This window comes from Homo sapiens, chromosome 9, assembly GCF_000001405.40.
Source record: "Homo sapiens chromosome 9, GRCh38.p14 Primary Assembly".
Taxonomy (NCBI): Eukaryota; Metazoa; Chordata; class Mammalia; order Primates; family Hominidae; genus Homo; species Homo sapiens.
Window position 1 is genome coordinate 124,407,077 of NC_000009.12, and position 25,801 is coordinate 124,432,877.

Sequence of the window (25,801 nt, forward strand, 5' to 3'; positions counted from 1 at the left end):
AACATGCTGGATTTAAAGTTCTCCACTGTGAGCCTTTAGCTCTTTGGGAAGGAAAACAAAACTGACACATACTGAATTTGCCAAACGATGTAATCATTAAAATACAAATAAATTAACATGAGAACCAAAGTCATAACTTTAGACTGTCTGAGACATGGCCACACATCCAGAAGTGCTCTAAGTAAACAGAACAGTGGTCCAATACTTGCCCTGTTCCTTGATTACCAAATTGTTATTTCATTTGTAAGTAAAAACTTCAAAAACTTCCTAGGAAAAGATTTTAGCAGTAGCCTAAAAAGAGAATAGAGCCCCAGACAAGGGAAGAAACTGGTCCAAGGCCCCACGTGTGAGCTAGCAGCAGGGTCAGACTAGGGCCAAGGGCTCCAGGAAGAGAAGCCACAATCGCCAGTCCCACCACCCCCAACTAGTCCAGTGCCTATTCCACTATGCCAACTGTCTACTGAACAGGGTGTTTAAATAAAGTTAATAATAATCAGCTACTTGCCTTCTAAGCTAAAATATCAACTGTTAGATGCCTTTAAAATAATCAAGATGTTTTGGCAAATTATTGAAGTCATTAAAATTTTAATAATTTATTGATCCACAAATTCTACTACCAGGACTCTATTCTAAGGATATAAACAGACAAATGTACAGAAATGAATGCACAAGGATGTTTACAACAGCATTGTTTATGATGATTAAAAAAGTGGAAACAGCCAGGGAGAAATGGCTAAACTGATCCAACTGTACAACAGAACATCACCCAATCATTAAAAATCATGCTAAGCCGAGTGTGGTGGCTCACACCTGTAATCCCAAAACCTAGGGAGGTCATGGTAGGAGGATTACTTGAGGCCAGGAGTTTGAGACCAGCCTAAGCAACATAGTGAGACATCGTCTACAAAAAGTTTAAAAAAACAAACACAACAAAAAATTAGACAAACATGGTGGCGTGGGCCTTTAGTCCCAGCTACTCAGGAGGCTGAGGCGAGCAGATGACTTGAGCCTAGAATTTTAAGGCTCAAGTCATCCACCATGCACTGCCTTTAAGTGAGCCATGATCATGCCACTGCACTCCAGCCTGGGCAACAGAAAGAGACCCTATCTAAACTAAAATAAAATTTAACAACCATGCTGCATTTTCTCCTGCGCTACTGACGGTAGTACAACGTTTGTCAAGGGAGAGCTTTGACAACATCTTTCAAAATGTTAAATGTGCAAAACTAAATAAATGTGCATTTATTCTAGAATACAGGCTAAGGAATTAAATCACATGAGTACCCAAGGCTTCTATGTTCCAAAGGTTCGTAGAATACCTAATAATACCTTAAATACCTTAAAATGGGCAATATCATTAATGTTTAAAAATTGGTTAAGTTGTAACATAGCCACAAAACGGATACTATGACACCACCAAAAATTATGATAATGATTAATGGTTCTTAAGCTTTTATGGGTCAGAGAGCCCTCTTAAAAATTGATTAAAATTGTGGAAATTTTCCCCCATAAGAGTACACACAAACATTTTTTCTGATTTCAGGAGAGTTACAAGTATTCAGAACTTCTCTATGGGCTCAAGAGAAAAACTCATCTACTGACAGGAACAATATTTGTAACATACCATTATGTAAACAAGGGAAATTACAAAACAACACATACAAGGATATATATCTAGAACAAAAGGTATGAAAAAACAGATCTTCAAAAATTTACAGTGTATGTGTCTAAGTGGCAGAACATCAGGTGGCATTTACTTCCTTCTATCCAGGTTTCTAGTGTCTACGTTTTTTACAATTATATTATTTTTATAATTTTAAAAAGTTATTTTCATTTTGAAATGCCCTAGTATAGAACCCATTCAAGATGCACTGTTAGGTGAGAAGACTAGGCTATACTACAGTCAGTACAACTATAATCCCATTTTCTAAATATTACTGAACTTATTTTTAAAACCTTGAAGGGTGTGTAACAATCTCTTAGCACTAACTGCTCGTGGGTGGCAGGAATCCAGGTAGTTTTTTACATTCTTTTTGTTCATATCTTCCAGCTTTGTTTTGTTTTTACCATGAACATGTACTAGCAATATAAAAGGAAGAGAGGAAGGGAAGAACTTAAGAGACAGAAGACTGGAATAACATACACCAAACCAAGAGTGATGCTCCCTGAATGGCAAAGTTTTCATTTTGTTCTTTGGGCTTTTCAGTATTTTCTAAATTTCCTACAATAAATGTACATTATGTTTATAAGAAAAAAAGTTACAATATAAGAGTCTCTACGTATTCAAGTAATAGTTTCTAGAACACACAACAGCATTTCACTAACATTTTTATGAAACTCAACAAGGAGGTTCCATGCTCACAGAACAAGCATTACTTACATCAACTACATATAGCCAGGATAGGTGTGAGATAAAGGCAGTGCTTAAGTAAGGGAAAAGACATCACTTCTGCTTATCAAACCTTATTTTCTCACTGACTCACATACAAGGAAATGGGCTGTTCAGAAAAAAAAAGTACAGCAGTACCAAGAACACCTTGTACTCTTTTTCAGACTGAATTTTACGGGGCTCTAACTACGCAGTAGGCTCTGTAGTATGCAAGGTCAGAGCCTAGCTTCTTTATTCCTGTCCTCCTCAAAAGTCAGATAGACAGAAACTATTATCCTCATTTTATTGAGAAAGAATCACCCAAATTTATACGACAGTCAGTGCTGTAGGTGGGAGATGAACCAAAGTTCTAAAATCAAATCCTAAACTCTTTCCTTATACCACTCTCATTTTATGTAACTCACCAAAAATGTTAAGAGGACATAAAAGACTATAATTATGCTGGTTTATATTTTTAAATGGTCCTCAAATTTTGATAAAATTTAACTTTTACAAAGTATCTTGAACTAAAAAATGACAAAACACTGAAAAAAGAGAATTTAGAATTTTTTTTTTTTTTTTGAGACGGAGTCTCGCACTTTCACCCAGGCTGGAGTACAGTGGCACAATCTCGGCTCACTGCCAAGCTCCACCTCCCGGGTTCATGCCATTCTCCTGTAGCTAGGACTACAGGCGCCCGCCACCACGCCCGGCTAATTTTTTGTAATTTTAGTAGAGATGGGGTTTCACCATGTTAGCCAGGATGGTCTCAATCTCCTGACCTTGTGATCTGCCTGCCTCGGCCCCCCAAAGTGCTGAGATTACAGGCATGAGCCACCGCGCCCAGCCGAGATGTTAGGATTCTTAAAACATTCTGAAGTGATTAACAGAAACATTTGCTAGATTTTTTTGCTAATTGTTTTAAATGACATTACAAAGAATCTTGAAACATCTTATTTGCAGCAATTTTACAAGCTTAAAAATTGCCTTTATTACATAGACACATCGTGTAGAAAAAAAGTTTTCAAAAAAGCCTTATATATAATGTACCAAGCAAGCCACCAGAGGGAGCTTTATATTTAAAATTAAAATCCACAAATCTTTTCAGAAATCTGATCAATAGGTGTGCTTTAACAAGTTCTACTCACTGTACTGGGAGAATTTGGTTGGCAATAATTCTCCTGGATTAGAATAATGATACGTACACAAACATAAAGCAGCAATTGGATAGACAAGGCTTCCTATCCATATGACTCTAGGCTTTGGTCTCATTTGTAAAATGGGAACTATACTACTGGCCTTGCTACAACCTCATATACACTACTGAAAACCCACAGGCCATGCTAGACACATAGATGAGGACCCGCAAATTATCAGGAAGGCCAGGGCCCTGAAGGGAACAGTGAAGTGAGCCAGGCAGAGAAAGTGACAGAGCACCCACTCCCACTTCTAAGGCAACAACCACCAATGAGTTCCCGAAGATTACGGCCACATGTTTCCAATGTTTTCAAAAGACAGAAATCTAGACTTTTTTTTTTTCTTTTTTTTTGAGACGGAGTCTTCTTCTGTCACCCAGGCTAGAGTGCAGTGGCGTGATCTTGGCTCACGGCAACCTCCACCTTCCAGGTTCAAGCGATTCTCCTGTCTCAGCCTCCCAAGTAGCTGGGATTACAGGCAAGCGCCACCATGCCCGGCTATTTTTGTACTTTTAGTAGAGATGTTTCACCATGTTGGCCAGGCTGGTCTCGAACTCCTTACCTCAGGTGATCCGCCAACCTTGGCCTCCCAAAGTGCTGGGATTACAGGCGTGTGCCACCGTGCCAAGCCAAAATCTAGACTTTTAATTCAAATCTCCCCATTTACAATTGTTAGCCACTATTTAAAAAGAAAAAAAGGCCATATGACCCAAACAAATTTCCCTACAAGCTGATGGCCTATGAGCCACCAGTTTAAAATCTTTACTGTCTATCCGTGCTCCCCTTTAATTCTCACAACCACCCCACTAGGGGCAGGTATTATGATATCCATTCTACACAGAAGGAAAAAGGCAAAGAATTTGTTAAAGGTAAGGCAAGTCCCAAAAGGAGAAGCCAGTATTCCAACCCAAGACTAAATGCCCAGGCTACTTCTCCTAAAATCACTGCCTCTCTTATGAGAAGCAAATGAGAAAACACACTTTGAAAACTGCCAAGACCCATACAAACATAAAGTAATGACGCAATTATTAAAGGAGAAAGAGAAACAAAACTACTAATATGAGCTGTGAGTCAGCAGAGAATGAAGGTCAGGTCAGGCAAGCTACTGCACCTCTTTAAACCTCAATTTCTTCACTTACAAATAGGAGACGCTAATAGTCCCTATCTCAGAGTTAAAAGGATGAAATCGTGCATAAAGCGCTTTAGCATAGGTCCTGGAACAGAGTAAGAGGTAGATAAAGGTTGGTTAATATTAATATTATCATACCCACTGACAGCCAATTATAAATATCACTTTTCATTCACTGTTATTTTGCCCCTAAAGGGAGGGGGTGGGGGGAAGGAGAGACAATCATTTGGGTTTGTGTTTATGGGGAGGAGAGAGTAGTTTCACAAGACAACTTGATAGTTCCTCCAGCTATAACTTTCTTACCGTGAACAAAAAAGTTTCTCTTATCCAGTAATATCCCTATGCTCCAGGAAATGACTCAACTGGTGACATGTGATTTACTCATGAAAAAAATCAGGCCCCAGAAATTCAAATGCACCATCAAAAACCATTTAAAATGGCTCTTTAATATAACAACTGATTTCCGGAACAAAATGTGTATTTCTGAATGTGTTTTTGCTACTTTCCAGGCTTCTCTTGGCTGAAAAAAATCTAAGATATGAGAAGAAGATACTAGTAGGAATCCCCATTCTGGAAACTTACCTGAAAAGCATCTGCTTCAGCATCCGATTGGCTGTCACAACTCTGGGAAGACGGCCAGTGGAGAGGGAGTGGAGCTCCAGGTTGGAAGAAATGAGCTGGGTTGTCATGTCTGTGTCTGCAGCTGTCCCAGCACCACAACAACTGAAAAATCCAATTAGAAACTTAGCTGAAATCCAATTACCAGAGGGCTCAATTAGAAGTAATGGGTTCTTGGATAACTTCCATGAAGTTCAGGTACAGAGAGATGTTTTTGAGTATATCTATGCTGTAACTTCTCTGTTTAGTCAACCTTAAATAAACAGAAAATTGAGAATATGCATCTAGTTATATGCAAATACATTATCTATGGCCCAATGGAACACATGAAATTATTGGTTTCTGTGATAACAGTGTGTGCATTCCATTAATGCTACAAATATATCCAAGTTGTACAGAAGTGCCAGGTGTGTTAACTCTTGCAATTCAACATCTACCAAGTATTTACTATCAGATACCAGTAATTACACTAAGCACTGGGAATAAAGAAAATATGAGAGGCCTTGTGCTCAAAGTTGAGTGTAAGATACACAAGAAGACAAAAATTATAACACATAATTTAATACACAGTAATAGCATAGGTACAAAATCCTACGGGAAACCGGAGGAGAAGGTAATTGATTCTGATCATTAAGAAAAGGTTTCAGGCTGGGCATGATGGCTCATGCCTGTAATCCCAGCACTATGTGAGACCCAGGCGGGAGGATCACTTGAGGCCAGAAGATCAAGATCAGCCAGGGCAACATAGTGTGACCGCATCTCTCCCAAAAAAAAAAAAAAAAAAAAAAGAACGAAAAAAATGTTTAAAAAAAGGAAAAGGTTATATATGAGCTGGAATAAAAACACTCTACAAGCAGAGAAGGCAGAGTTTCTAAATAGAATCTCACATAAGCAACGGTAGAATAGCTTGGAGATGAGGGAAATAGGGACAGTTCAGACGTAACTGGAGCACAGGGTGATGGCAACTGAAAAAGACGCTTGAAGGGTAGGCTTTCTATGAGACTGTGCAAGGCCACAGAATTTTGATTTTTATCCTAAAAGCCATGTGGAAATGTGACAAGTCTCTTGAAAAGCTTTTTAAGAAAGGGATGCCATCAGATCTATGTTTTACAAAATCCAGTATGGCAGAAGAGTGAACAATAGGATGCCTAAGAGAGGCCAATTAAATGGTAACTGCAATAGTCCAGCTAAGAAAAAAGAACCTCTATGGTTCAAGTTAATGTTTGAAAAAAAGAAAAAGAAAAAAGAACCCAAACTAGAGCCTTAGCAAAGGAAAGGATAGGAGGGAATGGATTCAAGAGGCACAGAGAGGGCAAAACTGGCCACCAATTCAATTGGAGACTGAAGCAAAGAGAGGACTTGAAGTTACTGGCTTAGGTAACAGGTGGCTGGAAATGCCATTTAAGGGAGACAGAAAATACAGGTTGAAAAACAGGTTTTAGTAAGGAGCACAGGAAGGTCAATTTTTAGCCCTGACATGTTTGAAAATATAAGAGTTATTCAAACGAATCAATACTTACTAAATATTAGGAGATATGAAGTGTATTTTTGAACAGTTCTTGTCAGCAACAACCATCCCTTCAGTTGCTCTTGTATCTGCTCCAAGAACTATGCCATCCTATTAAAAAAAAAAGTTTTTAAACAATTTTACAAATATAAGCCAACCGCAACTCTCTATTCTACTTTAGGGAATACTATGTTGGCCATACCACATGCTCCCCTAATCTCAAAACGCCAGCCAAAACTCATAGCAAAAATATTGTGCTACACTTTCAGGATTTAAGAAAAGGTTTCTTAGTAAATGCTACTAATTGAATCCTGAGTAGGTAAGAATTATTCCCATTTTCAAGTGAGGCTCAGGTGTCGGGTAAATTCCTTGTAAATCAGAGCTAATCTGGAAAAAACCTGGATTAAGACTCAGGAATCTTTCCATTAAATTAGCCATCACTATCAATTTCCTTTTAAAACATGTTGCTTTTCTTTAAAACATGTTGCACAGGTAATCATTATCCCTTTTGACGTTTCCAACAATTTAAGGCAGGAGTTATCTCCATTTGATGCATCTGAAGGTGTCCCTGTGAGAAGGAAAGTGAGCTGCCAGAAGTTGGAATCAGCACTATAGAGTTCAAAGGTGAGACAGACCTGTCTGACCCCAAATCTCGTGATCTCCCATCACATACTTCAGCTTCCTAAACTAGTAATTAAGAAGCTAACTGACCTGTTTAAAAAAAAAAAAAAGAAAGAAAGAAAAAACCTCAGCAAAGTGAGGAAAGAACATAAACTGTTAAGAAGCACACAAAACCTGACAAAAGCAGTCGCTCCTGAAAGACGGTCTCCTGATGTATTCTATAGCATTTGCCTTTCCAGACCGAGCCGGGAGAGACACCGGAAGCCAAGTGTTCTGATTCCTGTTGCCGGTTCAGTCACTGCTGCTCTTAGCCTAACCCGGCTTACCTTATAGACCACCCCAGCGATGGTCGTGCCAGTTTTCCGGACCTTTGGAAGCTTGTATCCCCTCTTTGCAAAATCGGCTTCCAAGACGGCATTCCTAAGAGCAAATGAGAGAATCAAGTGTTGAAGGGCAGGACCACATCGCACAGCACTGGCATGAAAAGTGCCTAACAGAGAACTCAGGAAAGCTGCTACTTGTTTTCACGCCCATCTGTTTAATGAATCCTCCCACCATCAGCACTGTTCTCCCGTTTTCCAACGAAGACAGTCTTACAAAGGGGCCGTGACGTGCCTTAGGAGACGGAGATAAACGGTGGCCGAGTGCGCTGGGAAGGTGGGAGAGCAGACCCGGCTTCAGGAGAAACCCACGCCCAGGCCCTGATTCCCCTGAGTCACACTAGCCGCGGGCCACAGGCCCCGCCATGAATTCTTCCCTCAGAATTCTCGTATCACACCTTGGCCCAGCTCCCACCCGAGCACCGCACTCTTCTCCCTCCCTGAACCAAGCCCCAAGCAAGGCGGCACCTGCGGCAGTTATCAAAAGAGAAGCCTCCAACTGGTGGAGCATACACCGACACAGCCGCCATCTTCCCAAGAAAGCAGTTCCGGGTCGGAGGCGGGTGCAAACAAAAAGAGCCGAGCACTTCCGGCGTCGCTGGCAACGGGGGCTGAAGGGGCGGGGCAAACGCCGCACTAGAACGATTGATCTTAGAGATTCTGGTTCCTAGAGAGGCCAGAGATGTTTGAAGTATATCGCCCCAAGTGGCACGGAGGAGAAAGTGACACCCGGAACCGGGAAAGGACTTGTCCAAGGTGAACGCACCAGCGACCAGGTCTCCTGCCGCTCAGACTGGACTTGTTTCTACCGTTAATTTGGTTCTGCGGTGCTTCAGAGACAGACAGACCCAAGTCCCAGGCACAGCCCCACCACCCCCTTGCGTTAAGCAAGTCTCTTCAACTCTCTGAATCTGTTTCCTCCGCTATCAGATGGAGATTACAACCTAGCTCAAAAGGCTGCTGTAGAATGGCCATTAAGTCTGTGAAAAGAGGCTCAACATGATTAGTCATAGGGTGAATGCAAAGCACGACCACAGTGAGATCCCACTTCGCACCCGCTAGGATGGCCATAAACAAAAAGACAGAAAAGCGCAAGGGTTGCGAGAGTGTGGAGAAATTGGAACCCGAATACACGGCTGGTGAGAATGCAAAACGGTGCGGCTGCTCCGGAAAACAATTTGGCAGTTCCCCAAAAAGTATTATCCTCTTAGATACGCACCCGAGAGGGTTGAAGACATGTATTCACAAAAACTTCTACAAAGGTGAGGTAGAAGGCAGGCCTCCATTCAGAGATGGGGCTGAGATACCTGACCAAATTGAGGACTAGCTAAAACAGGGCCTGGACGGAAGCTGTCTTCCCTAAGACTCGCTCACCAGCCAGCCAAGTCAGTTTACCGTTGCCATGGCAACACTCGTGAGTTACCGCCCCTTTCCATGGCAGTGGCACCATAAACCAAAAGTTACTACCCCTTCCCTAGAAATGCCTGCATAAACCACCCCTTAATCTGCATGTAATTAAAAGTGTGTATAAATATGACAGCAAAACTGCCCTGACACTCTGCCTAAGAGGGTAACCCTGCTCTGCAGGAGCAGTCATGGAGCTGTAACGCCGCCACTTCAATAAAGCCGTTTTCTTCTGCCTCTAACTTGCCCTTGAATTCTTTCTTGGGCAAAGCCAAGAACCCTTGTGGGCTCAGCCGCACTTTGGGGCTTACCTGCCCTGCGTCAAAAGGGGTCTCATTGGCTGGGCGCGGTGTCTCACGCCTGTAATCCCAGCACTTTGGGAGGCCGAGGTGGGCGGATCATGAGGTCAGGAGATTGAGACCATCCTGGCTAACACGGTGAAACTCCGTCTTTACTAAAAATACAAAAACTTAGCCAGACGTGGTGGTGGGCACCTGTAGTCCCAGCTAGTCAGGAGGCCGAGGCAGGAGAATAGCTCGAACCAGGGAGGCAGAAGTTGCAGTGAGCTGAGATCACGCCACTGCACTCCAGCCTGGGCAACAGAGCAGAGACTCCGTCTCAAAAAAAAAAGCGAGGGGGGGGTCTCATTATTCACAATAGCCAAATAATGGAAACAAATGTCCATCCACTGATGAATGGATAAACAAAATATGGTAAATTCATTTAATGGAATATTATTAGACCATAAAGAAGTCTGAAGCACAGATACATGTTACAACAGGGATGGACCTTAAAAATATACTGAGGGAAAGAAGCCAGGCACAAAAGGCCACATAGTGTATCATTCCATGTATGTGAAGTGTTCTTAATAGGCAAATCCACAGACAGAAAGTAGATGTTTGGTTGCTAAGGGTTAGGGGAGGAGGAGAGAATGGATAGGACTGTTTAGTGGGCGCAGAGTTTTTGGAAAATGATGAAAATATTCTGGAATTACATAGTGGTATTGGTTGCACGATATTATGAATACACTAAAAACCACTGAGTTGCACACTTTAAAATGGTTAAAATGGTGACTTCTACGTTAGGTGAATTTTATTTTATTTTATTTTATTTTATTTATTTATTTATTTTTTTGAGACTCGGTCTCCCTCTATCACCCAGGCTGGAGTGCAGTGGCATGATCTCAGCTCACTGCAACCTCCACCTCCTGGGTTCAAGTGATTCTCATGCCTCAGCCTCCCAAGTAGCTGGGATTACAGGCATATGCCACCACGCCTGACTAATTTTTGTATTTTTAGTAGAGACAGGGTTTCACCATGTTGGCCAGGCTGGTCTCGAACTCCAGACCTCAAGTGATCTGCCCACCTCAGCCTCCCAAAGTGCTGGGATTACAGGCATGAGCCACAATGCCTTGCCAGTGAATTTCATTTTAATAAGGCTATTGTGAGTATTAAACATTGTACATGAAGACCATCTATCTTAGCATGTAGAAGCTTCTTATAAATAGTTATTATTAATAATACATTCATTTCATCCTGTCAACAAACCTAAGAGATAATTATGTAATTCAACTCATTTTACTGAGGGAATTGAAGGCTCCTTTTACAGCCTGAATGACTGTGGAATGAATTAATTTATTCACTCAACAAATATTTATTGAGCTCCCATTATGCGTCAGACATGGTTCTAGGTGCAAATGAATGAATGAAGCACCTAGAACCAGTGTCTATCACAACTGTGTGTTTAATAAACATTTGTCAAAGGTTGAATTCCCTTTCGTTACCTCTGAGTTTTCCGTTGAAATTAGGGAAATAAATTCATATTCTGCAGTTCTAGCCCCTAGTAACTCAGTAGCTGACCTTACTTGGAAGTATTCCAAATGAATTGAATTTGATTTGATATTACAGAGGTAATCAAGTTAAAAATGAGGTCACTAGGCCCTAATCCAACAGGACTGGCGTCCTTATAAAAATTGGAAATTTGGGTCGGGCATGGTGTCTCACACCTGTAATCCCAACACTTTGGGAGGCCAAGGCAGGTGGATCACTTGAGATCAGGCGTTCAAGACCAGCCTAGCCAACATGGTGAAACCACGTCTCTACTAAAAATACAAAAATTAGCTGGGCATTGTGGTGGGCGCCTGTAATCCCAGCTACTCAAGAGGCTGAGGCAGGGGAATCACTCGAACCTGGGAGGAGGAGGTTGCAGTGAGCCAAAATCATGCCACTGCACTCCAACCTGGGCAACAGAGAAAGACTCTGTCTAAAAAAAAAAAAAAAAATTGGCAATTTGGAGACAGACATGCACACAGGGAGAACCCCATATGAAGATGAAGGTAGACACTGGAGTGATGATCCTATGGGCCAAGGAATGCCAAAAGTTGCCATCAAACCACCAGAAGCTAGGCGCCAGGTCTGGAACAGTCTGCCTCACGGCTCTCAGAAGAAGCAACTTTGCAGACACCTTGCTTTGGACTTGCACCCTCCAGAATGGTGAGACAATAAATTTCTGGTGTTTCAGCCACCCAGATTGTGGTACTTTGTTATAACAGAGCTAGGAAACTCAGACACCTCCTGAGCTCACAGTCCAGGGGAGGAGAGGAAGTCTCAGAAAAGAAAGACTCCCAGCGCTGTGTGCCAACTGCCAGGCGGGGGAAGCATGGGAATGCGAGTGGGGGGCACACACTCTAGGGAAGCCTAGAGGCTCAGACGGTGTGGAGCCCATCGGGACGACAAGGCAAGAGGGTCAGGCACGTGGGCGAAGGCTTGAGATGTGCCAAAAACAAAACCAAACCGAAAACCCTGGACATGGTTTTTAGGAAACAGTCGTGAGGCTTCTGCAGTGGTACCTGCAGCCTCCGGGGGGTGGTGGTGGGTGCCTGAGTCCCGCCGTAGGGTCTCAGTGGGAGCTAGGAAGCCAGGGCCCAGCCAGGCGTGGTGGCTCATGCCTGTAATCCCAGCACTTTGGGAGGCCCAGGCAGGCAGATCACTCGAGGTCAGGTGTTCAAGACTAGCGTGGCCAGCATGGTGAAACCCCGTCTCTACTAAAAATACAAAAGTTAGCTGGGTGTGGTGGCGCCCGCTTGTAATCTCAGCTACTTGGGAGGCTGAGGTGGGAGGATTGCTTGAACCTGGGAGGCGGAGGTTGCAGTGAGCTGAGATCACACCACTGCACTCCAGCCTGGGCAACAAAGCCAGAGTCTGTTTCAAAAAAAAAAAAAAAGAGAAGCCAGGGCCCCGGGCACAGCACAGAGAGCTAGGAAAGCCGTTGTAGAAATGATCTGTGACCTCGATTTGCTTGAGGGAACTTTCTCTTCCTACCTGGGTTTCTTTGGTATCTTTGATTTTTCACACCCAGACTGGGCTGAGGAGGGGACATTGTTTCCTCTTACAGCCTCTGGAGGTGGCCCCGCAGAGGCACTCAGAGCCCAGCAGAGGGCGACCAAGAGCCTCCAGGCGGCCTGGACATAAAGCAAGGGAGTCAGCCGGGCGGGGATGGGGGCAGCCGGGCAGGGATGGGGGCAGCCTCTGCACCTCCAGGCATGTGGAGGGCAACCCTAGATCCCTAGCACTCAGAGATCCCCACTCGGCCTCCCTGCCCAGCATGGCTGCTGCCCCCTGGGACTGCAGCCCAGCCCAGCTGGCCCTCCCCTGGGCCTGGACACAGTCCCACTTCATCCCTGGCAGTGCTACCAACCCCAACTCACCAGTGAAGCCACCACTTCTGCTGTGGATTTGGCTGGGTGACCTCAGGAGAGCCATCAGGCTCTCTGTGCCTCAGTTCCCAAATAACACAGTAACAACCAACAGTCCCTGAGAGCACTCAACATCCTGGGCTTGGACCCAGCCATTCTGTGTGCAGGATCTCATGATCACCCTGGACACCTAGAATGTGCCAGGCAGTAGGAAAGCACAATCAAGAGACAGACACAGAGCCTGTCCTCAGGGAGCTGGCAGTCCCCAGGGACCAGGCATCATGGCCCCACTTTATAGATGAGGCAACCAAGGCCCGGAGAGGTGAAGTCACTAGCTCAAGGTCATACCGCTGATATGACTTGAGAGTCAAACCACACCCCTCCCAGCCACAGACCACACACAGCACCACTTCCCCCACCCCTGACAATAAGGGCCCAACTGGAACCCGAGTTCCAACCGGAACCCAAGTTCCCTCGTATTCTGCCAGCACACAGGTGGGGTTTCCTCCTCCAGGACTCAGGCCAGCTCAGCTACTTGCCAGCTGCAGGACCTTAGGCTGGTGTCTTGACCTCTCCGAAGTTCAGTTTCCTCATCTGTAAAATGACAGACTGTTGCAGTGCTTATCCTGCCCCACACGCATCGAATAAGAACACGCATCGTAAACTATACAACACTTCATGTATTCATTATTTATTAAACCCTTCCTTGGTGCCAAGCTTGGTGCCAACCCTGTGCTAGATGACAGCCTTGGGGGCATTGGTCTGGCGTCTAGGCCTCCAGTTCACTGTGCTAAGTGCCCTAAAGGACACGAGCCAGAGCACAGCCAGGGAAAGAGCTTCCAAGTCTGCCTGAGGCTGCAGGTGGGCACCCAGAGGACAAGAGTTAGCATCAAGACCAGGGGACGAGGGTGCATCTCATGCTGCCGAGAGCTCAGCTGTGCGTGGCCCTGGCATCACCCTGGATTTTCCAAGAGCCCAATAAGCAGCACCCCCCACCCCACCCACCCTGCAGGCTGCCCAGGAACCCAGCATGGGACAGGCCCTCAAAGGCCCACCTGCATCCTCTGTCACGGTAAACACATCTGAGGGTGCACCCTTCAAGGAGACTTGGCCATCTTCCTCTTGCAGGGAAAGCAGCCCATGATGCTCCTGGTTGCTATGGCAACTGGGCCCTTGTTTTTCCTTCTTCATAAATAAGCTATAAATAGACAGGGCAGACCTGGGCGCCTTCCTTTGCATAAATTACAGCAGCTGCTCCAGGCTCCAGGGCCCCTGGCACAGCACCCAGGTGCCAAGCCTCGCTGCATGGGCCACAGAAACACAGCTCCCATGGGAGGGGCGCAGCACGGCACAGGGCAGCATCTCAAAGTGTGGATTCCTACCACCCATCCAGACTCTATTGGGGTGCTGAGCAGATTTTGGGGCCCACCTGAGACCTCCAGAATCCCCACCACTGTGAGCAAGGCCTGGGACGGCTGGGCCCTGAGTTTGCCAACTCCAGCTGCTGGAGAGCAGGAGGGGGCATCCCTCCCTTCTTCGTATCCAGGGGCTGTTCAAGTCACAGTGAAATCATGAGAATACTCCGCACTTCCTCAGTGGGTTCCAACAACCAAACACTCTCCCCACCTGGTTTAATCATCATGTTTAACATCTATTTACTGAATCCTTTCTCTATGCCAGGTGCTACGGTAATCACCTTCCATGCCACAACCCAATTCATTCATCAAAACACCATCTGAGGTTTCCAGCTTACAGGTAGGGGACTCTCCACTTGGAGACAGGAGTTGTAACACAAGGTCACGCAGTTGGTCAGCAAGAGAACTGGAATTTGAACCCAAGCCTGTCCTGGTTAAAGCTCATGTTCTTAATCCCAGCCTCTCCTTTTAGCATACCTGATTCTCTTAATAATTTCCGAGGGAGGGAACAGCAGGTGGGATCCTTTAAGGGGGAAGGAACAGAAAAAGGAGCTGAGACTCAGAAGGACCAGGGCCCGACCCACAGCTTCACAGGGAGGACAGTCAAGGCTGAGACTTGGGTCTGTGGAAGGCAGGCTGCAGAGAGTGGAATTACTTTCCCTAAAGAGGGGAAGATTCGGGGAGACACAATTGCCTGGAGGGCCTGGGCAGACTTCTTGGAGGAAGTGAAGCTGTAACAGAGTCTTGGAGAATGGCAGTGGAGAGAAGGAAAAAAGCATTCGAGACAGAGAGAGCAGATAAAGCATTCAAGAAAAAAGCATTCAAGACAGAGAGAGCAGATAAAGCATTCAAGAAAAAAGCATTCAAGACAGAGAGATAAAGGCTCGGAGGTGTGGTAGCGCCATCCGGCTGGCAGGATAGCAGGCAGATCAGTCCGGTTATGGGCCAGGGGCAATGTGGCCAGCTGGCCAGGCCCCAGTTAAGAAGGGCCTTGTAGAGGCCAGGCGTGGTGGCTCATGCCTGTAATCCCAGCACTTTGGGAAGCTGAGGCGGGCAGATCACCTGAGGTCAGGAGTTCAAGACCAGCCTGGCTAACATGGTGAAACCCTGTCTCTACGAAAAATACCAAAAAAATTAGCCGGGCTTGGTGGTGCACATCTGTAATCTCAGCTACTTGGGAGGCTCAGGCATGAGAATCACTTGAACCCAGGAAGTGGAGGTTGCAGTGAGCCAAGATTTCACCACTGCACTCCAGTCTGGGCGACCGAGTGACACTGTCTCAAAACAAAAAGAAGAAAATCCTTGCAGGCTGGCTCAGAAGCCTGGGCCTATCGCAAGGACATTGGGAAGCCATCAGTTTTTTTTTTTTTTTTGAGATGGAGTCTTGCTCTGTCACCCAGGCTGAAGTGCAGTAGTGGGATCTCTGCTCACTGCAGCCTCCGCCTCCAGGGTTCAAGCAACCCTCCTGCCTCAGCCTCCCAAGTAGCCAGGATTATAGGTGTGCACCACCACACCCAGCTGATTTTTGTATTTTTATAGAGATGGGGTTTCACCATGTTGGCCAGGCTGGCCTTGAACTCCTGACCTCAAGCGATCCACCCACCTTGGCCTCCCAAAGTGCTGGGATTAGAGGCGTGAGCCACCACCCCAGCCTCCATGGAATGCTTTTGAGCAGAGAATCAACATGACCTCTAGAGAAAACGGGTTTCCTGCTTGACGTGGGGGTTTGAACAGGGCTCATCACCCGGGACAAGGTATTCTGAAGGCTGCTGAACCACGGGTGCTTTCTCCATCAAATCTTGCAGGATCCATCTCTGAATGTGTCTCCCGGACCCAGACACATCCAGCCCCATTATCTTCTCCATGCTTCAGACCTGCCTCGCCCTAGGTAAATGCTGCTCCATTCATTCACTCATTCATTCACTCCTTCAGATGTTCCTTACATAAACTCCAATCCTGTGTCTGGTACCATGCGACGCACAAGAAAACAAAGACTCTGCCCTCAAGAGAAATGGATACAGAAATAAATAAGCAAGTAAAAGGATCAGAAGGTTCTGATAGAGACTGTGTGGATTACAGAGATTCCAAGGAGAGAAAAAGTCAACTCCCCCAGGGGAGGAACAGCAGCAGCAAATGCTCTGAGGAAAACAGGAGACTGTAAACAGGACGCAGAAGAGGAGCAGGGGTTGGCTAGCTGGGGTTGCAGCGAGAAGAGAGTGGGCAATTCCAGAAGGAGGGGACAGTGTGAGCAGATCCGTGGAGGCGGGAAACAGCTGGGCTTGTTGGAGAACAGAAGATGAGAGGAGTAAGAGGGCGTGGGCAGCTGGAAACCGGGCATCCCAGAGTAGGAGGCAGGGGACAGAGGCTGACACATCACAGTGTGTGAAAACCACTCCGGCAGCCCGTGGGAGGACGGATGGACAGGGAGAGAATGAAAGTGGGAGAGCAGGGGCGGTGGGGGTGCTCCGGCCACAGATCAGGGAGGAGAGGAAGGTAGCCTGAAGTAGGGTGGTGACAGTGAGAACAGCGAGAGGGAACAGTCACTGGAGATATGACAGAGGCCAGATAGACAGCACATGGTTGAAGTTTGGATGTTGAGGAGAGGTAAAAGGAGGAGTCGACGTTGTTCTCCGGGTTATCTGACTTTGGTAGCAGGAAGGTCCACGTGGGTGCCTTGGGGACACGTTGCATTGGAGGTCCCCGTGGGTCCCTGGAGCTCGAGAGAAGGGTCTGGGCTGGGGAGAGAGTTGCAGGAGTTCTCCAACAGCAGCGAGAAGGCTGTGGAAGTCCCAAATGTGAAGACAACACAGGAGAGTGGGCAAGGGAGAGAAGAGAGCTAGGGATGGTCCCATGTGTCAGGCAAGCAAAGACCGAGTGGGCAAAGAGTGGAGTGAAGGGGAACTAGAGGGGAGTGACATCACAGCCGCCAAGATCAGAGTGCCCGGAGATGCAGGGAGAGCACCTGAGTCCAGCACCACAGACTCCAGCAAGCAAGAGGAGGACAGAACTGTGTCCATGGGGCCATCAGGTCTGACAAAGACCTTTTCTGTAATGATAATACTCAGTGTTAGGGATGATCTGGTGAGATGAGCACCTTTAAGGGTTGCTAGTGGGAAGGCAAAATGGTATAATAGGAGCTTCTGGAAAGCTCTTTGCCAGAATAGTTCACGATCCTTGAAAAAGTCCAGAACATTTGACCCCAACATTCCCCTTCTAGGGATCTATCTTCAGTCAAAGATTGGTGTATAAAGACGTTCATCATAGAGGTCAGGTGTGGTGGCTCATGCCTGTAATCCCAGCACTTTGGGAAGCCGAGGCGGGAGGATCACTTGAGGCCTGGAGTTTGAGATCAGCCTGGGCAACATGGTGAGACCTCATCTGTACAAAAAATAGAAAAATTGGCCAGGCAAAGTGGCACGCACCTGCAGTCCCAGCTGCTCAAGAGGTTGAGGTGGGAGGATCACTTGAGCCCAGGAACTCGAGGCTGCAGTGAGCTGTGATTGTGTTCACCGCACTCCAACCTAGGCGACATAGTGCAACCCCATCTGTTAAAAAAAAAAAAAAAAAAAGGTTCATTGTAGCATTATTCATAGTGGATTATATATTGAATAATGAAGTATATATTGGATACTGAAATGGATTAAATGTTATAATATGTAGCAATATTATAATGAAAATCTAGAAATCACTTTAATGTCAAACAATGGGAGAATAGTTAACTAGTTTATATGAAATTTATGAGGCCAAGAAAAATTATCTTCAATGCATGTTTAAGGACAGAAGAAAGAATGAGAAAATGGACACAATGTGTATGGTTTTATGTGTGGGGGTATACATTCTTTTTTTAAAAAAATCCTATTATTAATAGTGGTAATTCCTTGCTGGTGGGATTTCAGCAAGGATTTTTTTTTCAAATTTTCAAGTTCTCTACATATTTATTACTTTTTTCCTCCAAATTATCATTGTGAAGTTTTTCAGAGCTTCAGAAAGCTACAAGGATGGTTCAATAAACACACAGAGACTCTTTATCCCAGATTTACCATTTTCTCTTCTCTCTCTCGCTCTGAACCATTTGAAAGTTACACAACACAGCTGGGCGTGGTGGCCCACGCGTGTAATCCCAGCACTTTGGGAGGCCGAGGCGGGTGAATCACCTGAGGTCAGGAGTTGGAGACCAGCCTGGCCAACATGGTGAAACACCATCTCTACTAAAAGTACAGAAAATTAGCCAGGCATGGTGGCGGACTCCTGTAATCCCAGCTACTCAGGAGGCTGAGACAGGAGAATCACTTGAACCCAGGAGGCAGAGGTTGCAGTAAGCTGAGATCACACCACTGTACTCCAGCCTGGGCAATAAGGGCGAAACTCTGCCTCAAAAAAATAAATTTTTATATATATACATATATATATACGTATATACACACATATGCGTGTATGTATATACGTATATATGTATATATGTGTGTATATACGTATATATGTATACGTGTGTGTATATACGTATATATGTATACATGTGTATATACGTATATATGTATACATGTGTGTATATACGTATATATGTATACATGTGTGTATATACGTATATATGTGTATATGTGTGTATATACGTATATATGTGTATATGTGTGTATATACGTATATATGTGTATATGTGTGTATATATGTATATATGTATATGTGTATATGTATGTATGTATATACACACATATATGTATATATTTTTTAAAAGAAAAAGAAAATTACCCAACACTCCACCCCTAAATACTTAACCGTGAATCTCCAAAAACAAGTTCATTCTCCTATACAACCACAGTGCCATTCTAGGAATTCACTATTATTTAATTTCAATCCACATTCAAATTTCCCCTATTGTCCCGGGAATAACTTTCATAACTTTTGTGATCCAGCATTCAACCAGAGACCCCACACTGAATTCAGTCGCCATCACTCTTCAGCCTCCTTCAACCTGGAACAATCCTCCAGGCTTTTTTTTTTTTTTTGTCTTTCATGAAGAGGTCAGGCCAGTTGTTCTGAAGAATGCTCCTCAGTGAGGACTTGCCTGGAGACTCTGGTGAGCGTTTTTGCAGGAGCACCTTGTGATGACACCCGTCCTTCTCAGGGCATCACGGGAAGGGCGCGTGATGTTGACTTCCCCCGATATTTGTGGTGTTAAGTCTCATCGTTATTAGTAAAGGTAGTGCCTGTCAGATTTCTCCATTTATAAAGGTAACTTTTTCCCCTTGTAATTAAAAAGTAACATGTGGGTGATTCTTGGAGGCTGTATGGATATCTCATTCCCAATGGTCTTTTGCCCAGTGGTGTTAAACAGCCACTAACAATTCTTGCCTGAATCCATTATGATCATGTGTTTGTGAGAGGCCATTCTCTGTGTCTATCCCTGCCCTTAGCCAGAACCCTTCTGTCCCCTCTGGGTTGTTTGTTTGTTTGTTTGGAGACAGGACTGTGGTCTGTCACCCAACCTGGAGTGCAGTGGTACCATCATGGTTCATTGCAGCTTCTGCCTCCTGGGCTCAAGCGATTATCCCACCTCAGCCTCCCAAGTAGTTGGGACTACAGACATGCGCCACCATGCCTGGCTAATTTTTTAATGTTTTGTAGAGTCAGGGATCTCACTATGTTGCCCAAGGTGGTCTAAAATTCCTGGCCTCAAGTGATCCTCCTGAGGATTTGGGAGGTGCTTTGGGATCGTAGGCGTGAGCCACCATGCTTGGCCTCCTTGTTTTTTTGAATTCTAGGTTTCTTTTTTCTATGTGTTATAATCTAGTCTTATTTTAATCATTTAAAAATCATTTATTATCTCCAATTCTCCCATTTATTATCTCTAATTCTTATTTTAAATCATTTTTATCTCCAGTTCTCCCAAATGTGGCCGGTAGGAGTGCCTTCAGAGCAGCTCCCTGCCAGCTTCAGTTCTTTGCTTTCTGGCCCAGTGAGATGGCCTGAGTGGAGGAATCACATGAGCCACAGAAATGACGCCTCAACTCCAGATCCACTGGGAAGCTGGAAGGAAGTCTGCAGGCACCAAGGGAAGCAGCAGGGCTGTGTGGACATTGGTAGTGCCTTCTCTCAGAAGCTCCGCAGCCAGGACTTTAATGAATGGCCCTACTCCAGGGTCAGGGCCAGAGCCAGAGCCAGCTTAGACACAGGCCACCAGCCTGCCTGGGCATCTTGGTTTTACATCTCATCTATTTACTTCTTGCACGTGGAAAGAGATTAATTATGGTACAAAGATGAAGAAAAACTGTATTCTTTTGCAACTTCCATGAGGAAGGAAAAAAAGTAGGGAATCATGCCAAGATTTTAGGAGGCCAAGGTATATGTGTGCCTACGAGAGTGAGTGTGTGTGTGTGTGTGTGTGTGTGTGTGTCTCCCAGGTTCTCCAGGCTTTCGGATCCCCTTTCTTCTTCTCTATCTTAACTTTTAAGAAATTGGCATATAGCGTGCATGCAGTAAAATGCACAGATTTTAAGGATACAGTTAGATGAGTGTCGACAAATGTGTGATCAGCACCCTGACCAAGATTTAGAACGTTTCACCACCATCAGAAAGTTTCCTCATGCTCCTTCCAGTCAATCCCCCAACCCTCCATAAAGGGAACCACTTTCCCATATAAAAAATTCTAGGCCGGACATGAATCCCAGCACACCTGTAATCCCAGCACTCTGGGAGGCTGAGGTGAGTAGATCCCTTGAGCCCAGGGGTTCAAGACCAGCCTGGGCAACATGGCAAAACCCCCCATCTCTACAAAAAGAATACAAAAATTAGCCAGGCGTCGTAGCGCTTACCTGTGGTCCCGACTACTTGAGAGGCTGAGGTGGGAGGATCCCTTGAGACCAGGAGACAGAGGTCACAGTGAGCCATGATCACGCCACTGCACTCCAGCCTGGATGACAGAGCTAGAAACCTACCTCAAAAAAAAAAAAAAAAAAATCTAGAACTTCACACAAAAGGAATCTTACAATGGGCACACCTCCTTTATTTTAACTACCAAATAAAATGGTGGTGGGAAGGCTAGCAGTGTCACCACTGCTCCAAAATATTTCTGAGGCCTTCTTGGGGAGAAGCAAAGAGGTACTGATGTCCCACTGTAGCTTCTGGCTCCAAATCTCTGCTCCCAGGCTGGTGGCTGACGAGGAGACACAGATGAGTCTCCTTCCCCTACTCAGGAAAAATCATTTTCCATGGCCTAGAAACTATGGCCTCAAAACTCCACTGGACTTGGCAGCCTATCTACCCAGAAGTGAGGCTCGGCCACTCTGACAGCCCTTCTGCACCCTTGACTGTGGGGACCCCTGGGGGACTGTGATCCTGTCCGTCTGCCAGCAGGAGCAGCGAGCAGCACCAGCGGCCACCCGACGTCCTGTATCTCCGCTGTCAATCTGCCCGCTGCCCTGGGTTGTTTACTGGAAGCTGGCCTCCCTGCACAGGTTCAAAGCCCTGGCCCTGGGCACGTCTGCGGCAGGAAGCAGGCCGGGCAGTAATTGGCGGTGCGGCCATGCTAAGTGGCCAGCACCGACCCGGTATCCTCCCCCAGCAGTCGCCTTTGAGTGGCTCCATGCTGACCTTCCAGGCCTGCGGGGACTTCCTGCCGAACGCCGAGCCAGCTCCAGGAACAAATTACTTATTCCCCAAGAAATCTATTAAAAGGTGACAGCAGTCGGGAGACAGGTGGCCAGGAGGCCTCCAGCACCGGAAGCCAAATGTCTTCCGTTCCCAAGGGCCACCAGCCAACTCCCCCTGAACTTGCTGGCTCAGAGGGAACTGAGCTAGAACTCTAACTTTTGGGGCCAAGGAAAAATGACTCAGAGCTGGAGAGAGGCTGCCATACCTGCAGCCCAATGTGGCTTCTCGACAGGGGAAGCGGCAGGAGGCAGAGTCACCCAGACTCGGTTCTATCTGCCATTCCTATTCTATGTGGCCTTGGGCGAGCCACCTGGCCTCTCTGAGCCCTCCATGCCTATCAAGGCCATAAGAAGCCCCACCCATTGGGTTGGCACAAAGCAGATGTACGCAAAGTGCCAGGCACATAATGGATGCTCTGTGGGTGTTGCTGGATCAGAGCCGACTGGGTTTCATTTTCCAGCGGAGAGAGAAGTGAGCCCAGAGTGACCTGCGTGTGCCCACGGGCAGAGGGAGGCAGAGATCAAGCCTCAGGATTGCATGGAGTGGGGCTGGCACTGGAGGAGCTGGGGGAGGGCACAAGGCACAGCAGCATCTGGTCTCCCCCTGGCGAGGAGCTGTTACCATCTCCAGCCAGGCCCTGGCTGATCAATGAGCCACTAGGTGAATGCATGAACAAATAAATAAATAAACTGTCCAGGCATGGTGGTTCATGCCTGTAACCCCAGCACTTTGGGAGGCCGAGGTGGGTGGATCATTTGAGTTCAGCAGTTTGAGACCAGCCTGACTGACATGGTGAAACCCTGTCTCTAGTAGAAAATACAAAAATTAGCTGGGCATGGTGGCATGCTCCTGTAATCTCAGCTACTTGGGAGGCTGAGGCAGGAGAATAGCTTTAATCTGGAAGGGGGAGGTTGCAGTGAACTGAGATAGCACCACTGCACTCCAGCCTGGGTGACAGAATGAGACTTCATCTCAAATAATAATAATAATAATAATTTTTATTATTGAATAAATGAATGAATGAATGCCCAGCTCATTGGTAGATGTGGCAGGCTGTGTAATGGCCCTCCCAAAGATGTCAATGTCCTGATCCCCAGAACCTATGAACATGTTACCTTACATGATAAAAGGGATTTTGCAAGTATGATTAAGTTAAGGATCTATAAATGGGGCGGTTATGCTGGAGTATCCAGGTGAGCATAATATCCTCACAAGGGTCTTACAAGAGGGAGGCAGGAGGCTCAGAGTTGAGGCCTCAGATGTGAACTGAGGGAGAGGCATCTGCAATAGACACAGGTGACATCAAGGCCCGGGCTTCACAGTTGTGTAACTGATGTTCTCTGGACCTGGTTGGCTCTAAACTCCAAAGTACTCTTTTTATCATATGATGGAGTGCTGCTGGGTCCACCTGACCTTATAACTTGGGGAATCAGAAAATACCAGCTCATGATGGACAGCTGAAATCTCATAGTCATTTGATATCTCCTGGTTAGGTGCTTGCTTGGTCTCTGCTAGAGTCCAGAAGGATGCCAGGAGCTGATTTTCTAAGGGTGAGCATTTCTCTACATCAGAAGTCATGAACTTGCCTCTAACCCTAGGGGTCTGTGCTACGAATCTTCTGTTAGGGTGTGGCAGACACACAACCTTGTCTACATGGATACTTCTTTTGCACCGTTGGGTTTGTGATTGGGTAAGGCCCAAGCAGCAAGGTACTTACACCACTGACTAGATCTCTCGTGCTCTGATCCCCACTTGAAACTGATCATTTTGACTGGGTACAGTGGCTTATGCCTGTAATCCTAGAGGTTTGGGAGGCCAAGGCAGGAGGATCACTTGAGGCCAGGAGTTTGAGACCCGCCTGGGCAACATAGTGAGACTCCATCTCTACAAAAATAAATTTTTTTAATTAGCCAAGCTGGGTGCGGTGGCTCACACCTGTAATCCCAGCACTTTGGGAGGCCAAGGTGGGTGGATTGCTTCAGGTCAGGAGTTCAAGACCAGCCTGGCCAACATGGTGAAACCTCATCTCTACTAAAAATGCAAAAATTAGGTAGGCGTGGTGGCAGGAGCCTGTAGTTCCAGCTACTCAGGAGGCTGAGGCAGGATAATCACTTGAACCTGGGAGATGGAGGTTGCAGTGAGCCGAGATCGCACCACTGCACTCCAGCCCAGGCAACAGAGCGAGACTCCATCTCAAAAAAAAAAATTCTATCAATATGAAGGCCAGGTGCAGTGGCTCACTCCTGTAATCCTAACACTTTGGGAGGCCGAGGCAGGCAGATTGCCTGAGCTCAGGAGTTCGAGACCAGCTTGGCCAACATGGTGAAACCCTGTCTCTACTAAAAATACAAAAAATTATCTGGGCATGGTGGTACATGCCTGTAATCCCAGCTACTTGGGAGGCTGAGGCACAAGAATCACTTGAACCCAGGAGGCAGAGGTTGCAGAGAGCCAAGATCAGGCCACTGCATTGCAGCCTGGGTACCAGAGCAAGACTCTGTCTCAAAAAAAAAAAAAAAAAAGTTCTATCAATATGCAGGTTCCTGAATCTCTGTAGGGTTTTTCTCTCACCCTCTAACAGAGATATGTCTGACTAGGGCCCCCAGAGAACAATCCACTCTCTGCCCACGGGGTCAAATGGACATAGTGTCATCAATGGAGTGGATGAATGGGATGTTTGGCAGAATGCCAAGCCCGTATGAACTTTGCGACACAGAACAGGAGAACTGACATAGCCCTGGAGTGAGACAATAAATGTGCTTTACTGCCCTTCTCTCATAAATGCAAACTACTTTTTTTTTTTTTTTTTTTTAGATGGAGTCTCACTCTGTCGCCCAGGCTGGAGTGCAGTGGCACATTCTTGGCTCACTGCAACCTCTGCCTCCTGGGTTCAAGTGATTCTCCTGCCCCAGCCTCCCAAGTAGCTGGGGCTACAGACACACACCACCACGCCCAGCTAATTTTTTGTATTTTTAGTAGAGATGGGGTTTCACCATGTTGGCCAGGCTGGTCTCAAACTCCTGACCTCAGGTGATCTGCCCGCCTAGGCATCCCAAAGTGCTGGGATTACAGATGTGAGCCACCGCACCCGGCCTGCAAACTACTTTTGATCCTTCTGACTGATAGGAACTCAAAAGAATGCATTTGCCAAACCAAGAGCCCCATGCCAAGTGACTGAGGCTGTGTTGATCTATTCTATATTGGGACTACACGTTGGCTAAGTTTATGGCCATTCACCATCATCCACCATGATCCATGTGGCTTTTGCAGAGACAGGGGTAAATCAAAGAGTGCAGTGCTGGGGTCTCAGGTAGTGAATCCACTCTAACAAGCCCGACTCCCTGGGCCATCTGACCTATTCTTCAATACTCTGCTAAAGCAGCACCAGCATCTCCAGCTCAACTCCTGTAGGTCATTGTCATGTCCAAGCTTCCAGGAGCCACCCCAACAACATATCAGGGCTTCCTCAAGGTGTCTGGGCCAGTACACTAAATCCTGAGTCATAGGTAAGGACACCCAGACCAATGAACTCACCCCTCTCCTACCTTGTGTTACAGACCCCAGTACAATGACCTCAAGATCCACCTCTAGGTGTTCTTAAAACTCCTGTTGATCTGTATTAGCCAGATCCTGCAATTCTCTCCAAAGTAAACTACCCTTTCTGGAAAGTATGTCTTCACTTAGGCTGTGCTACGATTTACTTTTAGCTATTAGTCTGGAGGCAATAAAGGGAGGTGTGATTGATGGAATAATGGCCCCCAAAGACACCCAGGTCTTAATCCCTGGAACTGGTGAACGTTACCTTCTACAGCAAAAGGAACT

At 46.1% G+C, this 25,801-nt stretch overlaps 1 protein-coding gene across 1 annotated transcript in view, besides 2 other annotated features; it reads right to left on the minus strand.

Annotated features, from left to right (window-relative positions):
* The window catches only part of PSMB7 (proteasome 20S subunit beta 7), a 61,978-nt gene extending 53,612 nt beyond the window's left edge, over positions 1-8,366 (minus strand). The window contains exons 1-4 of the mRNA NM_002799.4: positions 8,288-8,366; positions 7,766-7,859; positions 6,832-6,929; positions 5,276-5,416 (exon numbers count right to left, since the gene is read on the minus strand). Coding sequence (NP_002790.1) covers positions 5,276-5,416; positions 6,832-6,929; positions 7,766-7,859; positions 8,288-8,349 — 395 coding nt within the window. The 5' untranslated portion in view covers positions 8,350-8,366. The remainder of the gene's footprint in view (positions 1-5,275; positions 5,417-6,831; positions 6,930-7,765; positions 7,860-8,287) is intronic.
* Positions 4,565-5,764: an enhancer, noted in NCBI's record as "MED14-independent group 3 enhancer chr9:127173920-127175119 (GRCh37/hg19 assembly coordinates)". NCBI's record gives its function as "activates an origin of replication core promoter dependent on BRD2, BRD4, P300/CBP and CDK7 cofactors, and independent of MED14, by STARR-seq in HCT116 cells {active_cell/tissue: HCT116}" and the evidence as "EXISTENCE:reporter gene assay evidence [ECO:0000049][PMID:35650434]".
* Positions 8,273-8,322: an enhancer, noted in NCBI's record as "active region_28985". NCBI's record gives its function as "activates an Ori minimal core promoter by ATAC-STARR-seq in GM12878 lymphoblastoid cells {active_cell/tissue: GM12878}" and the evidence as "EXISTENCE:reporter gene assay evidence [ECO:0000049][PMID:35858748]".